This window comes from Homo sapiens, chromosome 10, assembly GCF_000001405.40.
Source record: "Homo sapiens chromosome 10, GRCh38.p14 Primary Assembly".
NCBI classification, from domain to species: Eukaryota; Metazoa; Chordata; class Mammalia; order Primates; family Hominidae; genus Homo; species Homo sapiens.
In genome coordinates, this window is record NC_000010.11 from 63454399 (window position 1) to 63469906 (window position 15508).

Here is a 15508-nt window from a genome sequence, read left to right on the forward strand (position 1 = left end):
AGGCTTGCACCACCACACCCAGCTAATTTTTTTGTTGTTTTTTGAAATGGAATCTCACTCTGTTGCCCAAGCTGGAGTGTAGTGGTACGATCTCAGCTCACGGCAACCTCCACCTCCTGGTTTCAAGCAATTCTCATGTCTCATGCCTCAGCCCCCCTAGTAGCTGGGATTACAGGCCTGCACCACCACACCCAGTTAATTTTTGCATTTTTAGTAGAGACAGGGTTTCACCATGTTGCCCAGGCTGGTCTTGAACTCCTGACCTCAAGTGATCCACCCACCTTGGCCTCCCAAAGTGCTGAGATTACAGGCATGAGCTACTGCACCTAGCCTGATTTTTCATTTTATTGAAGTGCCACACATTAGTGGCTACCATACTGAAAAGCACAGCTCTGTAATTCCCCACATAATGAATATGGCTGACTGTATCCTCATGGTGTAGTTTCACATGTTCCTCTACCTCCATATGTCCTGTAAACTGCTGTCAGAATCTAGAAGCTTCATTATATTCAGGTTCAGTTCTTCTTGGCAAAAATACTTCATAAGTTGAATTGTGTAGTTCCTGTTGTATTGTATCGCAACACCTATAACGTGGTTATTTTCCTTTAGGTTATGCTCAGCTTGATTACATATGCCTGGGAGGAATAAGACTACGTGCATCCGTTCACATCTTTATTTTTAACAAAAAACTCTGGAAGAAAACATAAGAAATTAACAAAAATGGTTATTTAAAAGAGATGCAGATTAAACTAGGCTGATCGGGGCAGGTGTGGGAGTGAGATTATTCAAAATATACTTCTTTATGTTTCTGTGGTACCCAGTCAAAAAAGTTAATAAATTTTAGTACAGATTTTTGTCCTATACTCCATATCTAAGATCACAGTATCTGGGTATGAGGTCTAGAAAAAAACCATTCAAACATGTTTCCTCCACAATTCTGCACGTTAAAGCTTAACCCTATCCACTGGGACACTGGAATACAAGAAATAAAAGGTTGACAATCATGAACTTTAGTCATATTTATTATTAGTTTCTTCTCCTTTAGGTTCCACTGATCATTATACAGTTACATATCTCAATATTATTTTAATCTCTTGCAGGAATATCCTCATGAAGTGATACTTCATAATGACACACTGGATTCTTATTTACCAAGAAACAGCTCTTCATTTGCTATTTCCCTTGTATTAAGCTACCAGATTCAGATTTTTTTTTCAAGAAAAGTTTCTCTCTTTAAAAATGGCTTATTTCCTTCTCTCTGAAAAAAGAACTGTGTAATCTAATTTTCTGGCCTATGAAATCATTATTAAATAAAACTGATAAAATCAGTGGTGTTCTAATTGAAAGGGGTAAGAATGAGAATTCAGTACTCTCAGGTTTCTTGTCTCCTATACCCTCTGGTCACTTAGTTTTCCAAGACACCAAAGAAAGCAATTCAAAAAGGCAGTAGAACCTAGTGAAAAAACACTGAAAATAAATGATATTTTAATTAATCACAATTCTTATTTTGCTCTTAAGACTGAGAAAATCGAGGCAAATTTAATGCAATATTATATTAACTGTAAGCATATTTGCTTTTTTCCTTGTTATACTTAGTAGTTCAAAGGGTCTTAATAATTATTTCTATTATATAACTATGTGTATATGTTTGTATAGTTCAAAACCGTTACGGAAAGGTGAAATACATATAGTCTATATTCATATTCACAACTTACTCTCTTAATTCACATGAACAATGTAAAGTAAAATGGTTTCCCTCAAAATGATTCACTTTGGTATTAAAATATGATCAGAGATTTTGAAAATTATGGCAATAAAATGTTCTAGCGAACAGTGGAAACGCTCTAAAATAGGCTCTACATAGTTTTATCAATGTGATTTTAAAGAAGAAAAAGAACATAGACCAAATAATAGTATAATGTTATTCAACACATTGGAATAGTTCATCAACTTTAAATTCTTATACAAATATTTCTCCTAGTCCTGTATTGCATCAAGATTCCATCTATAGAATCACAATATAGAGAGGAAATAAATTCTGTTAAATATACAGTCATTTTATATTAAATAACACATAATTTTAACCAAACATTAACATACTGCTTCCTTCTTTGATATTCCTCTGAGCCTAAAGATTTTTGAATCTTAAAACTCCTAACTTTAACAGATGGATCAGATGTTTCAGCTCCTAAGTGTCAGTCTTTCACAAGAAATGAATTAGTCACACAGACCTCTTCTAGCTTTGAAAAAATCTGAAATCTATTCTAGGAATGCTGACTATTCCTACTGCCATGTTAACATTTTCTGGCATGTTACATGCAACCTTCTACGTTCAAAATACATAATTTTCATAAGCAATATAGCCACACAGAAAATACTGGAAGAAACCTGAAATAATGAAGAAGCCAAATTCAACTTAAAATTTAACTATTTAGTGATACTAATGTAAATAATTCTACTAAAGAGAATTAGATGAACAGATACCTTCACCAAATGTTTCCAGGGCAACAAAATCTATTCAAGGGATTAGTAAGATAAAAACTTCTCAAAATACTACTAAGACATTATTTGCCTTTTCCATTCATTCTTTCATCAGTGTTCAGAGCAGCAGACTACTTGTGTTTTGTCTGGTAAAACAAAACTATGTCTGCATAGTGCTGACTTATGAAAAACTGCTCTTGTGTTTTAAAAATTTCAGCTTAGTTTTTAATACAGTAAGTATCAATAGATATAACCCAAATAAATCAAGTAAGGAAGGTTTTGAGCAAGTGGTAGTACAAATTGAAAAGAATGGAGACGGGAAAGCAGGTTCCAATTTAAAGGAAGAAATCTGCAGAACTAAGTTAATGCCAACGTTCAAGGTGGAAAAACATTTAAGATGAAGGTGTTTTCAAGCCCAGGTGAAACTTCAAATTAAATCTCAAAATGGCAGCTGGTTTCACATGAAGATAATAAATTATACTTTAAACACTATTTCAAACCCACACACGGGACATTCATGTAAAGCTTCCAAACAGTAGAGACGGTGGATCAAACTGAAAAAAGGCCAAACTTTAATTGCAGATTTGTGAGTAATTATGCAACATAGTACAAGTAAATTCTACAAAGGAAATAACAAGATTAAAACAACAACAACAAACAGTAAGCAAAGGACTGAATTTGAAATACCAAATTAAGAAGATGAAAGGAACTGCAGACAGGAAGGAAGGAGAAATAAAAGTCCAAGAGGACTTAAACCATAGGGCTATAGAAATGAAGAAAGAGAAAGGGCTCAGAAAGAATATATAACATTACAGTTAAAGGGAATTTCGGGTTTTTACTTTGAGAGTCTGTGAATCACAAACCATTGGCAGAAGCAATATGGCAGAGTACAGAGATAACAGATTTGAAATCAGAAATCTGCATTCAAATTCCTGCCCTGACACTTACTGATTGTGTGATTTCAAAAACTCTTTTCAGTTTTTCGTAAGTCAGCAGTATGCATAGTTTTGTTTTGCCAGACAAAACAGTAAACAGATTGTGAGCTGCTGTTTTTCTACTTAGCCATGTATTCTATAATTAAATCAATAGTTCTACAATATAAGATAAATCAACATTTTCATCAATGGGTTTAAGATAATAATTTCGTAAACTAGCTAGAATATAAAATATAAATTCTACACAAAGGGATTTTATCCAATTCGATAATTTCAGACAATGTTTCAACATTAACAATTTAGTAAAGACCAGTTGTAAAACTAAAAGTACGTAATCCCTAAATCTTTCTTTGTCAGATTAAGAATTTTATATCTAATAAAAGTGTGAAGCTGGATGCCATGGCTCACACCTCTAATCCCAACACTTTGGGAGTCTGAAGGCAGGAGGATTGCTTGAGCCCAGATGTTTGAGACCAGCCTGGGCAACACAGTCAGACTCCATCTCTACAAAGAGTAAAAAAAAATTAGCCAGGCATGGTGGCTCATTCCTGTAGTACCAGCTACTTGTAGGGCTGAGGTGGGAGGATCTCTTGAACCCAGAAAGTGACTGCCATGACCTGTAATTATGCCACTGTACTCCGCCTGGGCAACAGAGCGAGACCCTGTCTTTAAAAAAAAAAAAAAGTCTGCTAAAATCCACACTGGAAAAACTATCTGAAATTAGGCAGACATATGATCACTATCAAATCTCCTAACAAATAAAATTAGCAGTATTTGTTGCCATTAAATCTACACCACCAAAAATCGTATTAGTATTCAAATAACAATCCCTCATCCAAACTCTTTCAACATATTTTGGTATTAAAAGTTTATTGGATTTTTATAAAGTTAAATATAGCTTTTTTTTTATTTATTTATTTTTTTTTTGAGGAACAGTCTCACTTTGTCACCCAGGCTAGAGTGCAGTGGCATGATCATGGCTCAATGCAGCCTTGACCTCTCAGGCTCAAGCCATCCTCCCACCTCAGTACCCAAAGGAGCTGGGACCACAGGCACACACCACCACGCCTGGCTACTTTTTGTATTTTCAGTAGACAGGATTTCACCATGTTGCCCAGGCTGGTCTTGAACTCCTGAGCTCAAGTGATCTCCCTGCCTTGGCCTCCCAAAGTGCTGAGATTACAGATGTGAGCCACCGCGCTTGGCCTATAGCATACATTACGGTAGTTGATTATGGTAATATAGTACAAGTCCTTACGTTATGGTAGTTAACTATGGTAATATAGCACAGTTCCTAGGCAACATGTAACATCTCTGAAGGATTTAGAACAGAACCCTAAAAGTGGAGCACATTAATATTTCTCCTATAAGAAATACTCAATTCCTATTAAGCTCTACTTAAAAAATGAGTTTAGTCAATCAGGTTTTGCTTCCAAATGAATCATTAAAAAATGTAGTTGCTACAGCTATTTGAATTTCAGAATTGCAGATAAAGAATAGTGGACCTACAGTTATTTATCTGACCAACACTGACAGAGTATAAACTAGGGTTTATGATATATGTGACCTAAAAAGCCAAGCTTGCCCTCTCTTGCTAATTTCTGAAATATTAACGATGTATCTCTCCTGAAATTTCTATTTAACTGTGAGGAGTTATGGCACACTTCCTAATATAAAAACTCAATGCTATTTCTTATTTGTAAATATTTAGAAAGTTAGATATTTATACTTCATACACATTAAAACAAATTAATTTTTACAAAGCTTTGGGATACACCTGGACACATAAAAGCAGAACATATCACCCTTTTTGAAAATCATCAGAGTTATACAAAAATCAGTATGACAAGACTCTAACGTCTGAACACCAAATAACAAATTTAAAAGTTTCAAGAAAATGCTGCTTTCATTATTCAAAAAGAGTGGAATGAAATATTACCATGTATATCAGTTAACATACTTTTGCTTCCAAGGCAAAGAAAAAGGAACCAAAACAGACTTAAACCTTAAGTAAATTTATTCTCCCAAAATGAAAACTCCATAAGAGAAAAATCCACAGTAGTATGTAGGATTCAGAAAAAGTTTGGTCAGTCACATTTTTTCCTGCTACCGTGTCAATACTATTAACCTCTCTATGTCAGCTTTGCCTTCAAATTGGTTTACCTTAAAGTAGAAAAATGGCTGCAGCAGTTCCAGACTCATACCCACACAATGCTATCCTTGGAATCCCTCCGACTGGATCCATTTATGGCCTGTACCAATCAATGGAGTTCTATTCTGTAAGTTAGCTTAGAAAAATCATGGCCCATCCTGTAGTCAAACCACACAATTGGATAAAAGATAGAATGGATACTGCGGAGGGGAAGGTACACAGTGCCATAAGAGAAACAAAAAATTTACAATTAAGAGTAAATAGTAAGGTCAGGTGTAGGTGGCACACACCTGTAATCCCAGCATTTTGGGAGGCCAAGGTGGGAGGCTCACTTGAGGCCAGGAGTCCAAGACCAGCCTGGGCAACAAAGTGAGACCTCATCTCTACAAAAAAAAATTTAAAAATTAGTTGGGTATAGTGGCACATGCCTGTAGTCCCAGCTATTCAGGAGGTGAGGTGGGAGGATTGCCTGAGTTGAGGAGTTCCAGGCGGCAGTGAGCAATGATCACACCACTGCACTCCAGCCTGGGTAACAGAGCAAGACCCTGTCTCAAAAAAGAGTAAATAGTAATAGAAACTTGAGATGGTTAGTATGAATTAAAATATTCAAGTAACTTATGACATTCCTTTATTATTCCATAAGCATTTATGGACACCTAAGTAAATGCTAGGTACGGTACTAAATATGTGAAGATGACAGAAAATGAATTTTAGACTTAAAGACATTTCTTGTATATAATTTGAAATTGTCTAAAAATAATATATAAAATCTATAAATACAGGAAAATAGCCTGTATGCTTTCAATTACATTGAAATATCTAGTTAACATTTTTACTTTCACATGCAATAATATCCCTATACAAAGACGATAAGGTTTCACATGGTAAAATTTCTATAGTTCAATTATTCTAATGAATGAAAACATTCCCTATTTAAAATTACTGGAACTTACTGAATTCCCTATTTAAAATTATTGGAAATTATTGGAATACCCTATTTAAAATATGTGCCAGAACATATAGATGATGGGTCAAAAGATCATATAAAACAACAGCCCCTTTAATTTTACACAGAAACACAATTAACAACATTTACTGGGCGATCATCACCTTCTTTTAAAACTAGCTAGTGGTAGTAACTGCACGAGTTTATGTCCCACCATTGGGGCAATTTCGTCATTTTCCTATATTCAAGTCTTTACCAGCAATAGCAATAACAAATTCGAGTGTGAAAAATAGTTGGCATACTTACATCAGACATAGAAGTCTTTCTACCTACCAAAAAAACCAATTTTGCTATAGTAAACCTATCAAGATCGTATTGACCAATGAAGTAAAAATCATTCATTCATTCATACATTCAACATTTTGTAAACAGACCAGAAATCAGCATTTTTAATAATGATGCAAGACAATATAAATGTCAGACTGACATAAAGAAACATACAAGGAAATGTAATGCTACCAACTAAATAAGAAACTTAAATGAGAAAACTAAGCAGAAATGTGTAGACCCAAAAACAAAAAGGGGTTTTATTTATATGCGAAATCATAAATCACTTTAAATTTCCTAAACATGAATATTATTCATATTTAAGACAGAAGTTTTGCAAAATAACATCAGCTGATACACATTTCAACAGTTTAAACTCTTCATTCCCAGGATATCCCCTAAATACAAGCAAATTTATGGGTTTGGCCTTTAATACACAGTATGATTTTTTATTGTCCTTTTCTCTATTGAAAAAACCAGACATATTTTATTAAATACTTACACTTTAGACAGAACTGGCTTGAAAACAGAAATACAATCAACCTAAGCATCAAAGAAAGGTAGATAGATGGGTGTATGGATGAATGGATGGATAGATAAGCAAATAAATAAATCACTGAGATCATAAATGGAAGCGAAGTTAAACAAGAGGAGAGTAAATTGATGTCTGCTATTTAATTAATATTACAATATTATTCAAGGAGACAAATATTATGCAACAGTACTTCTCAACTGCCAGTTTTCCTTAAACTATCAATTTTCTAGAAAAATTCCTCAAAAAGTAGAACAGCAGTAATGTCAAAAATGTATCCCAAGACAAAACTCAGTAATGGGGCTAAAAAAGAAACTCAAAATGAAAAAGGTTCACAATGTGCTGTATATATTTCAACTTCTTCAACAACTTGGTCCTCCTGCATAAAAAAGGCTTAGATATTTTGTTAGCAAAGATAATTCCAATACAGATAACCCAAAAGGTTCTCACGCCATATTTTTAAAAGTTGACAAACTATTTGAAATTATCCAACATAACCTAATGAAAACTCTATTAATTAAACTTATTACTTAAAAGATTAGAAAGTAATATCACTATAACCCCTGGCTGAAAAAATAAAATTTTAATCTTACTTTATTTGTATTAAATTATATATGTTCATATTGTACAAGAAATATGTTTGCTACCACGGTGTGGTAAAAAATAATTTAATCCCAAAGATATCCATGTCCTAATCCCAGGAACCTGTAACTGTTACATTACATGGCAAAGGAGAATTAAAGTTTACAAGGAATTATGGTTGTTAATAGATGGCAAGATTATCCTGGATTATGTCAATTGGCCCAAAGTAATCAACAGGGCACTTACAAGTGTAATGGGGAAGCAGGAGAGTTAGAAGGAGATGACTAGGGAAAAACGGTCAGAGAGATACAACTTGGTTGGCTTTTAAGATGGAGGAAGGGGGCCATGAGCCAAGGAATGTGGACAGCTTCTAAAAACTAGAAAAGGAAAGAAAATGGATCTCTCCTAGAATAAACAGTCTTGCCACACTTTGATTTTAGCCCAGCAAGATCCAGGTCTTATTTGTGATCTCCAGAACTACAAAATAATAAGCGTATAACATTTAAACCACCAAGATTACGTTAATTAAACAATTATAGAAATTTAATTCACGTGGCAATTCCTCATACATAAGACCCAAAATAAGAATAACTGATTATCTTTGAGACACAATATTCCCTCAACTACTTTGAAGTTCTTATCATTATCCTTCCAAATCATGTGCCACAGGTTTGTGGCACATGTCCTGCCTGGTGTATCCAGCCAGGACTTCTAGTAGACTTAACAGGTTTTTAATTATACATATTTGTAGCTTTAAAAAAAAAATCACAAACTAGCCTATTCAACATTTTCCATATACTTTCTTTTTACATATTTATTTATTTATTTAGAGACAGGATCTCACTCTGTCGCCCAGGCTAGAGTGCAGTGGCATAATCTTGGCTCACTGCAGTCTCAACCTCACTGAGCTCAGGTGATCCTCCCACCTCAGCCGCCCCAGTAGATGGAACCACAGGCATTGTACTACTATGCCCGGCTAATTTCTGTATTTTTTGTAGGGACAGGGTTTCGCCATGTTGCCCAGGCTAGTCTCAAAACTCCTGCGCTCAAGTATCTTCCCATCTCAGTCTCCCAAAGTGTTGGGTTTACAGGCGTGAGCCACTGTGCCTAGCCTAATTTCATGTAACTTAAAATCTACTCTGCAGTAATCAAAGTCGAACAGGAATATTACATTATGTTAATGCTAAACTGTTCCAAGTTTCGTTTAAGAAATGTGAATGTAAGAAAATCTGGGAATAAATCTAAAATGGTAGATTCTAGGCTAAAAAAACTAAATTAATATTCAAATTTTCAAATAAAGACAGATTAAAAAAACTCATCAAGGGTTCACATAGGTATGGTTCAACATACATTTTTCTTTTTTTGGTAAAATTTAGATATGGTGAAACGCAAAGATAGTATCAATTCAACGAGTTTTGACAAATATATATATCTGTGTAACCAACAATCAGGATAGGAAACATTTCTATCACCTGAAGAAACTCCTATTCTTTCCAGTCAATCTCTACCATCCATAGATAATTTATTTTTTAATATCCAGCTTAATACCTTACTAACATATGCAAACTTAACTCTTTAATCACTTAAATTCCCAACTAAGAGAGCAATTAAGTTATTTATATATACAAATTTTTTTTTTCCTTTTTTACAGATGAGGGGGTCTCACCTATGTTGCCCAGGCTGGACTCTTAATAAGTCCTGGGCTCTAGCAATCCTCTTACCTCAGCCTTTTACACAAACAAAAATAGTTACTGAATTGAACTGCCATAATTTTTAGAACCACTAACATCACCAATACTTTTTAAGGAAGATTATACATTTCTATACGAAAATAACCAGCCAAAACCTTCAAAACTACCTCTATTTTCTGTTAGAAATACCTATCAGCAAAACACACCTATTTTGCGATATCGAGTCAATATTAATACATGCCGCATTAACCATATCATTGACTACAGTGAGGAAAACCCGAGTTTACAAAAACACACTCAGAAACTATTAAAATAGGTAGGTAAAAAATATTAGGTAGATACCTGTACAAATATTACAATGAATTTGGAATTGTAAGCTTTCATGCACACAAAGGGAAAAAAATTTCCTAAATTTGAAGTTTTCATTGAAAAAGTAAATGGCTCAGGGCATTACAAATAAATTTCACAGATTACGTATTCATAAATCAACCTTTGGAAGTCTAGTCCATGTCTTGTCTCTACTCCGCCCCTTACCTTCAAGCTGTCCCTCAGTGAGAATGTACTTGGAACACAACAGAGCATATTACAGCTCAATATCATGCACATACCTACGCTACTCAAAGAAAGCACTGGCAGCGTCACATGTAAGAAACCAAAAAAAAAAAAAGATAATCAATTCTGCATGGCATTTAACATTTTAATTGACAACATTTTTCGTCTTATTTAAAATCGTATAAAACCCAGAAACAGCTTGACTCCAAAGAACTATACCTTTCTAACAAGAAAAGCACATTGGGGACAGAAAGAGAGATTACCCTCCATACCAAAATTTTTCACTTTTATCCTTTACGGTTAGAAAGCCAAGCATCTATTAAGGAGAGGATGAATCCGGGCACAGCCACCACCACGGCCTCTGCCTCTAAAACACATAGGAATCCCCGGACTGTGTGGGAAGGTCTCTTTTCTTTTCTCCCTCCCCTTCAGCAACCTTACAGGATAAGTTTTAAGTCTCGAGCTACAGCACTATGAAGACTTTTCCAAGAAAAGAGATACCAGGGAAGCTGGCCGCCTGTCGCCATGAGTGGTCCGCCCCCTACCCCCACCTGCCCGCGCGGCGCCGGACTCGCGGCTCCGCCTTTCGGGGAGGTCTCCGTGGCCGCCCAGGCGCCACAGCGGGGAGCCGCGGTCGACCCCTCCGGGATGGGGGCCAGGGCAGCCTCCGCGGCTATCCCGGGAGTCCTGCTCCGACACCACCTCCACAGGGGAAGCCGCTCGGAGAGACGCAGGGACCCAGGCAAGGGATGCGGGCAAACGCGCCAAGGGTTCAGCAGAGGGGCGTGACCGCCAGTTGGCCGGGCTGAGCGAGGCGCCAGAGGGAAGCCTGCAAGGTACGTCTGCGAGAGCCGGGTGCGGGCGCGGCAGGGGAAAAGGGGGGCGCTGACTCTCTTACCGCCAGGTCCGGATTGCGGCTGTCCCTGTGTGACACGGCTCGGATGACCCCCGCTCGCCAGCTTCGCCAGCCGCGTCCGCTCTCCCAGCGCTCCGAACGTGCCTCGTCGCCGACCGCCACACACAGGAACCGCTTACCCACCAGCTCTGCCCGCGTCTCTACCGCCATAGCTGTCGCTGCCGAAGCGGCCGCTGCCTCCTCCAGTGCGAGGGAACCGATGAAACCTCACTCCTACCGGCCGCTCATGCTGAGGAGAGCGGACCGGGACACAGCAGCGGACCCGAAAGAGCGCAGACTCGGGACGAACCGGCCGCTCTGCCCCGGACACAGCGACCTCGGGCCCTCCCCGCAAACACTCCTTTGGACTCCCAGATTCGCAGCCTTGTGCTGCAGCGCCACACAAGAAAACTGAAACAAAACCCAACGCGGCCGTCGAAGACCCCGAGGCAGCCCAGCCGCCGCCACCGCGCCGCGGCCAGTACTGCTCCGTCTCCCTCCCCGGGCAGCGGCGGCGCGCAGCGCGTCTCCTTCCGCCGGCGCGGGCGGGGCAGCAGCCGCGGGAGGGTCGGCGGAACCACCGCAGACGGAAAGTAGTGCCCGGCCCTGCGGAGGCGGCAGCGGCCACTGGGTCCGTCCAGATCCAGAGGCGGCGGCGGCGGCGGCAGCGGGAGACGAAAAAATGAAGAGGGCCGCGGGAAAGTAGGCGACAGCTATTCAAAGCTTTTGGGGGTCTACCTTTGTATTCGTTGCTCCCTCAGAGGTGGAGGTGAGGGGAAAGTGAAGTGTAGTGGTTCCACTCTGATCACAAAATAAACTCCTGGGTTGACGCCTCACCCGCGGTTTGATGTTCAGAGCACACAGCGCCCGCCGCCTGAGTTAGCCTGAATTAGCAGTCCCGCAGTAACAGCAGCAGAGCAGGACAACACTTCTACTGAAAACTAAGCCCCAAAGTCACAGCAGAACCAACCGTTCATGACTTCAAGGGAAAACGAGGGGGAAAATGTGATCCTTTCATTCTTCTCATTTGTGGTGATACTAATTACATGTTTAAGCTATTCACAGATTTAAATTCGTCACTGCTTTATTATAAGAACAGCAAATGCTCCGTGGCGGGCCCTTGTCAACGTCCTGAAATTTCACAAACCGTGTCTGCGACAGTCTTAGTACTTTTAGTACTGGTACACAGCTCAAACACACTGGTCAGATAATAAAAGCAGAGAAAATCCCCAGATTCAGTTATTAGAAAATACCATGGAAAGAAAAGGATTTTAGCCAATCACAATTCAAGAAAAAAAATATTTATTTCCCATCCAATTACAATCGGACTCCCTAACCCACACAAAGATCTCTAACTTGGAACAATCACTCTTCTTTGATCAACTTATTTGTTATAAATCAAACCTCCCTACAAATGTCAGTGAGCAGTTCGATTTCAGGCACCCTTTATACTGCTTTTTTATAGGTAGTCCAATATTCTAAATTTCAGTTTCTTGAGATTTTCCTGAACCTCTATTTAAAAAAAAAAAGTTAACAGAGTTTACAGTAGTAATCTGAATGTTTAAAATAACTATAAGGCTTTTATCTGTTTTCTCTAGAACACTCAAGCTGGGCAATTTGAAGTGGAGAAACACAACCACTGCTAATAGGTTAGAAACCAAAATTATAAGGAAGATGGATTTTAATAATCATGGTCAAATTTTGCCAAAGACCAAACATAGAACTGTAATAAATAGGCTGGGCACGGTGCCTCACGCCTGTAATCCCTGCACTTTAGGAGGCAGATCACCTGAGGTCGGGAGTTCGAGACCAGCCTGGCCAACATGATGAAACTAAATGTATTTTTAGTCTCTACTAAAAATACAAAAAATTAGCTGGGCATGGTGGAGCATGCCTGTAATCCCAGCTACTCAGGAGGCAGCAGGAGAATCACTTGAACCTGGGAGCTGGAGGTTGCAGTGAGCCGGGATCGTGCCACTGCACTCCAACCTGGTCAACAAGAGCAAAACTCAGTCCCCCCGAAAACAAACAAACAAACAAAAAACCTGTAATAAATTAAAACAGCAAAACATACCCAAAAATGCATATCGGCAAGTTGAGAGAAAAAATTTTGCTTGGGCAATTTTATTTCCAAGTCCACTTTTTCAGTGTACACTGTATAATACTTAGCAAATTATCTTAAGAATTACAGATGAAGATTTCTAAAATCAGTGTAGATTAAGGAACCAGTAAAGTGACTTGGTGACAATAATTCAACATATGTAAGGATAAAAGAGTAGGGAGATCAACATCCAGATACCAAGTCATCAATGATCTGCTTTGTGACCATGGGCATGATGCAATTGTAAAAATGCAAAAATGCCTGAATCCTAATTTTCAGTGATATCCTAGGAGCAAACGAAAAATACAAATAAAGTCATTTGAGAAAAACATGCAAATTCATCAGTTATTACATAAATCCCACTCACCAAATTACATTCTTAAGAGTATAGGTTGCTAGTTGCCTTATATAAAACTGCCAGCTGTTTTCAATTTTGTAGGCAAACTGCTCTAAATGGGCCCCTGGGAACTCCCACTACATGTTGAATTCCATCCTTTTCAGTCCTCTGAAAAGCATGTAATCCAACAAATCAATCAAAATATTTCATGTATAGAAACAAAGTTTTTCAGGAGGGCATATATCCCCAAAATATTTTTAATCAAGTATCTTAATATTCTTAGAACTCTGGTCCAAATTCTCTTCTACTAATCCCTTGACTACAGCCAATGCCTAGAGTTTACACTAATTTGTGGATATTTTGCTGTTGGAAAAATTTAAAAGTACATTTTTTTAAATGTAGAATAAAAAGTCCTTAAAGATTTTTTGTTTGTTTGCTGGCATTTTTTGCTTCGTTTTGTATTAAGGGGTATTTTTATTATTTTATTTTTGCCAGCAAATCATAACTTTGTAAATAACAAGGAATTTAAAAAATTTTTCAAGTTGGTTTTGAAACTTCAGAATATTTGTTTCTTAACTTGTTTCCTTACATTCTTTACTTCCATAAAGATACTCGGAAACAGAAGAGTAATGGTATTTGTTTTCATTATACAGGTAAAAAGAATGACAGTGAATTACTTAAAATAACTAAGTTTACTTATAGAAGCTGAAAATTAGACATATAAATTAGATTTTCTAGTCTTTCCATCCCCACGTGTAAATATGTCCATTAAATATGCCTATGCACACATCAATTCAAGCAAACCTCCTACATCAAATATCTTAATCTACACCAAAGACTGGGAGATTATTTGATTTTTTCCCTTTTTAGAAGTTCACAAAAATTTATTCATAAAAACAGCTTGGGCTGGATGATGGCATGTGTCTGTTGTCCCAGCTTCTCTGGAGGCTGCAACTGGAGGATCTCTTGAGCCCAGGACTTCTGTTCAGGCTGGGCAACATCACAAGACCCTGTCTCTAAAAAACATTTTTAAAATACAAAAAAAACCCACAAACTATTTTGTTTTTTTAAAAAACTGACTTATAAAGGAAGAAAATGTATTCACTGCAATAAGAACCATAATTATCTACTTAGTTTAGTCTGAATAAGCAAAAGCCTAGTAGTTATAGATTTTTCACTTTTTGACTTGGTATGTAACTGTGGAAAGTGTCAATCATCTGCTCTCATACATACTAATATTTTATGTCACTATACATGTCTACTTTAAATATCACAGATATTATCTAACACAGACAAAAAGTTTAACACATCTTTTTAGCCACCACTTATAGAACACTTACTATGTGTCAGACAGTATACTAAGTACTTTACACACGTAATCTCATTTTGAGGATAAAGAAAATGAGGTTTAGAGAAGTTTAGTAACTTGCCTAAGAATACACATTAAGAAACTGGTTTTCAAAACCAGATCTTGTGATAACAAAGGCTCCCTGCTATTAACTATTATACTAAAAAGTCACTTAAAAGAAACGTGAAGGTCAGTTATCAAGTTGTTTCATCCTTATTTACAGTTTACTCATAATTGCTGTGTTCAGTATTTATTTAGCACTTACTATGTGGGTCACATCCTGCAAGGTTCTGGAGATAGGACCTTTATCCTTGAGAAGCTCACAGTCTATCTGGAAAGATAGACAATAGAAATGCTTTGGTTTATTTAATTAAGGAACTATCAATAGAATTTCATCCAAATTTAATGCATTTTAACAAATATTTTTCAAACCTATTATAACTTGAAGGCTTTTATTAATTGTCAAATGTAAATAATGGACTGCGTTTATGAAGTCTTAGATTATATATATAGATAGGGCTAAGAATCGTGCAAGCCACTATTTAAATGAGGGAAACCAAGAGTTTCAACTGAATTATGCAAGTGGAAGACCAAGAATAAATGGAATATAAATTTATGTTACCATTTTT

The 15508-nt window shown here is 37.3% G+C and overlaps 1 protein-coding gene and 1 long non-coding RNA gene across 11 annotated transcripts in view, besides 7 other annotated features; one reads left to right on the forward strand and one right to left on the reverse strand.

The window, feature by feature from the left end:
* The window catches only part of JMJD1C (jumonji domain containing 1C), a 354666-nt gene that overhangs the window by 287174 nt on the left and 51984 nt on the right, over positions 1-15508 (reverse strand). For 4 of the 10 annotated variants that reach the window (XM_047424773.1, XM_047424772.1, XM_047424775.1 and 1 more), the window contains exon 2: positions 15145-15210. The exons of 3 other annotated variants lie outside the window; for them this stretch is intronic. Coding sequence is in view for 3 of the 7 variants with exons in the window: in NM_001322252.2 (NP_001309181.1) it covers positions 11097-11264 (168 nt within the window). In the remaining 4 variants the exon portion in view is untranslated. Of the gene's footprint in view, positions 1-460; positions 4315-11096; positions 11580-15144; positions 15211-15508 lie in introns of those variants that run through there. 3 more of the 10 variants (NM_001322252.2, NM_032776.3, XM_047424774.1) reach the window with 2 other exon arrangements.
* Positions 10692-11031: a silencer, noted in NCBI's record as "silent region_2407". NCBI's record gives its function as "represses an Ori minimal core promoter by ATAC-STARR-seq in GM12878 lymphoblastoid cells {active_cell/tissue: GM12878}" and the evidence as "EXISTENCE:reporter gene assay evidence [ECO:0000049][PMID:35858748]".
* Positions 10692-11721: a biological region, named in NCBI's record as "H3K27ac hESC enhancer GRCh37_chr10:65224969-65225758".
* Positions 10811-11600: an enhancer, noted in NCBI's record as "H3K27ac hESC enhancer chr10:65224969-65225758 (GRCh37/hg19 assembly coordinates)". NCBI's record gives its function as "activates a minimal SCP1, AML or CMV promoter by ChIP-STARR-seq in naive and primed H9 embryonic stem cells {active_cell/tissue: H9 hESC(naive and primed)}" and the evidence as "EXISTENCE:reporter gene assay evidence [ECO:0000049][PMID:30033119]".
* On the forward strand, positions 10831-12165 carry JMJD1C-AS1 (JMJD1C antisense RNA 1). The gene has a single exon (NR_027182.1). It is a non-coding gene; the product is annotated as a JMJD1C antisense RNA 1 (long non-coding RNA).
* Positions 11222-11291: an enhancer, noted in NCBI's record as "active region_3438". NCBI's record gives its function as "activates an Ori minimal core promoter by ATAC-STARR-seq in GM12878 lymphoblastoid cells {active_cell/tissue: GM12878}" and the evidence as "EXISTENCE:reporter gene assay evidence [ECO:0000049][PMID:35858748]".
* Positions 11372-11541: an enhancer, noted in NCBI's record as "active region_3439". NCBI's record gives its function as "activates an Ori minimal core promoter by ATAC-STARR-seq in GM12878 lymphoblastoid cells {active_cell/tissue: GM12878}" and the evidence as "EXISTENCE:reporter gene assay evidence [ECO:0000049][PMID:35858748]".
* Positions 11572-11721: a silencer, noted in NCBI's record as "silent region_2408". NCBI's record gives its function as "represses an Ori minimal core promoter by ATAC-STARR-seq in GM12878 lymphoblastoid cells {active_cell/tissue: GM12878}" and the evidence as "EXISTENCE:reporter gene assay evidence [ECO:0000049][PMID:35858748]".
* Positions 11992-12041: an enhancer, noted in NCBI's record as "active region_3440". NCBI's record gives its function as "activates an Ori minimal core promoter by ATAC-STARR-seq in GM12878 lymphoblastoid cells {active_cell/tissue: GM12878}" and the evidence as "EXISTENCE:reporter gene assay evidence [ECO:0000049][PMID:35858748]".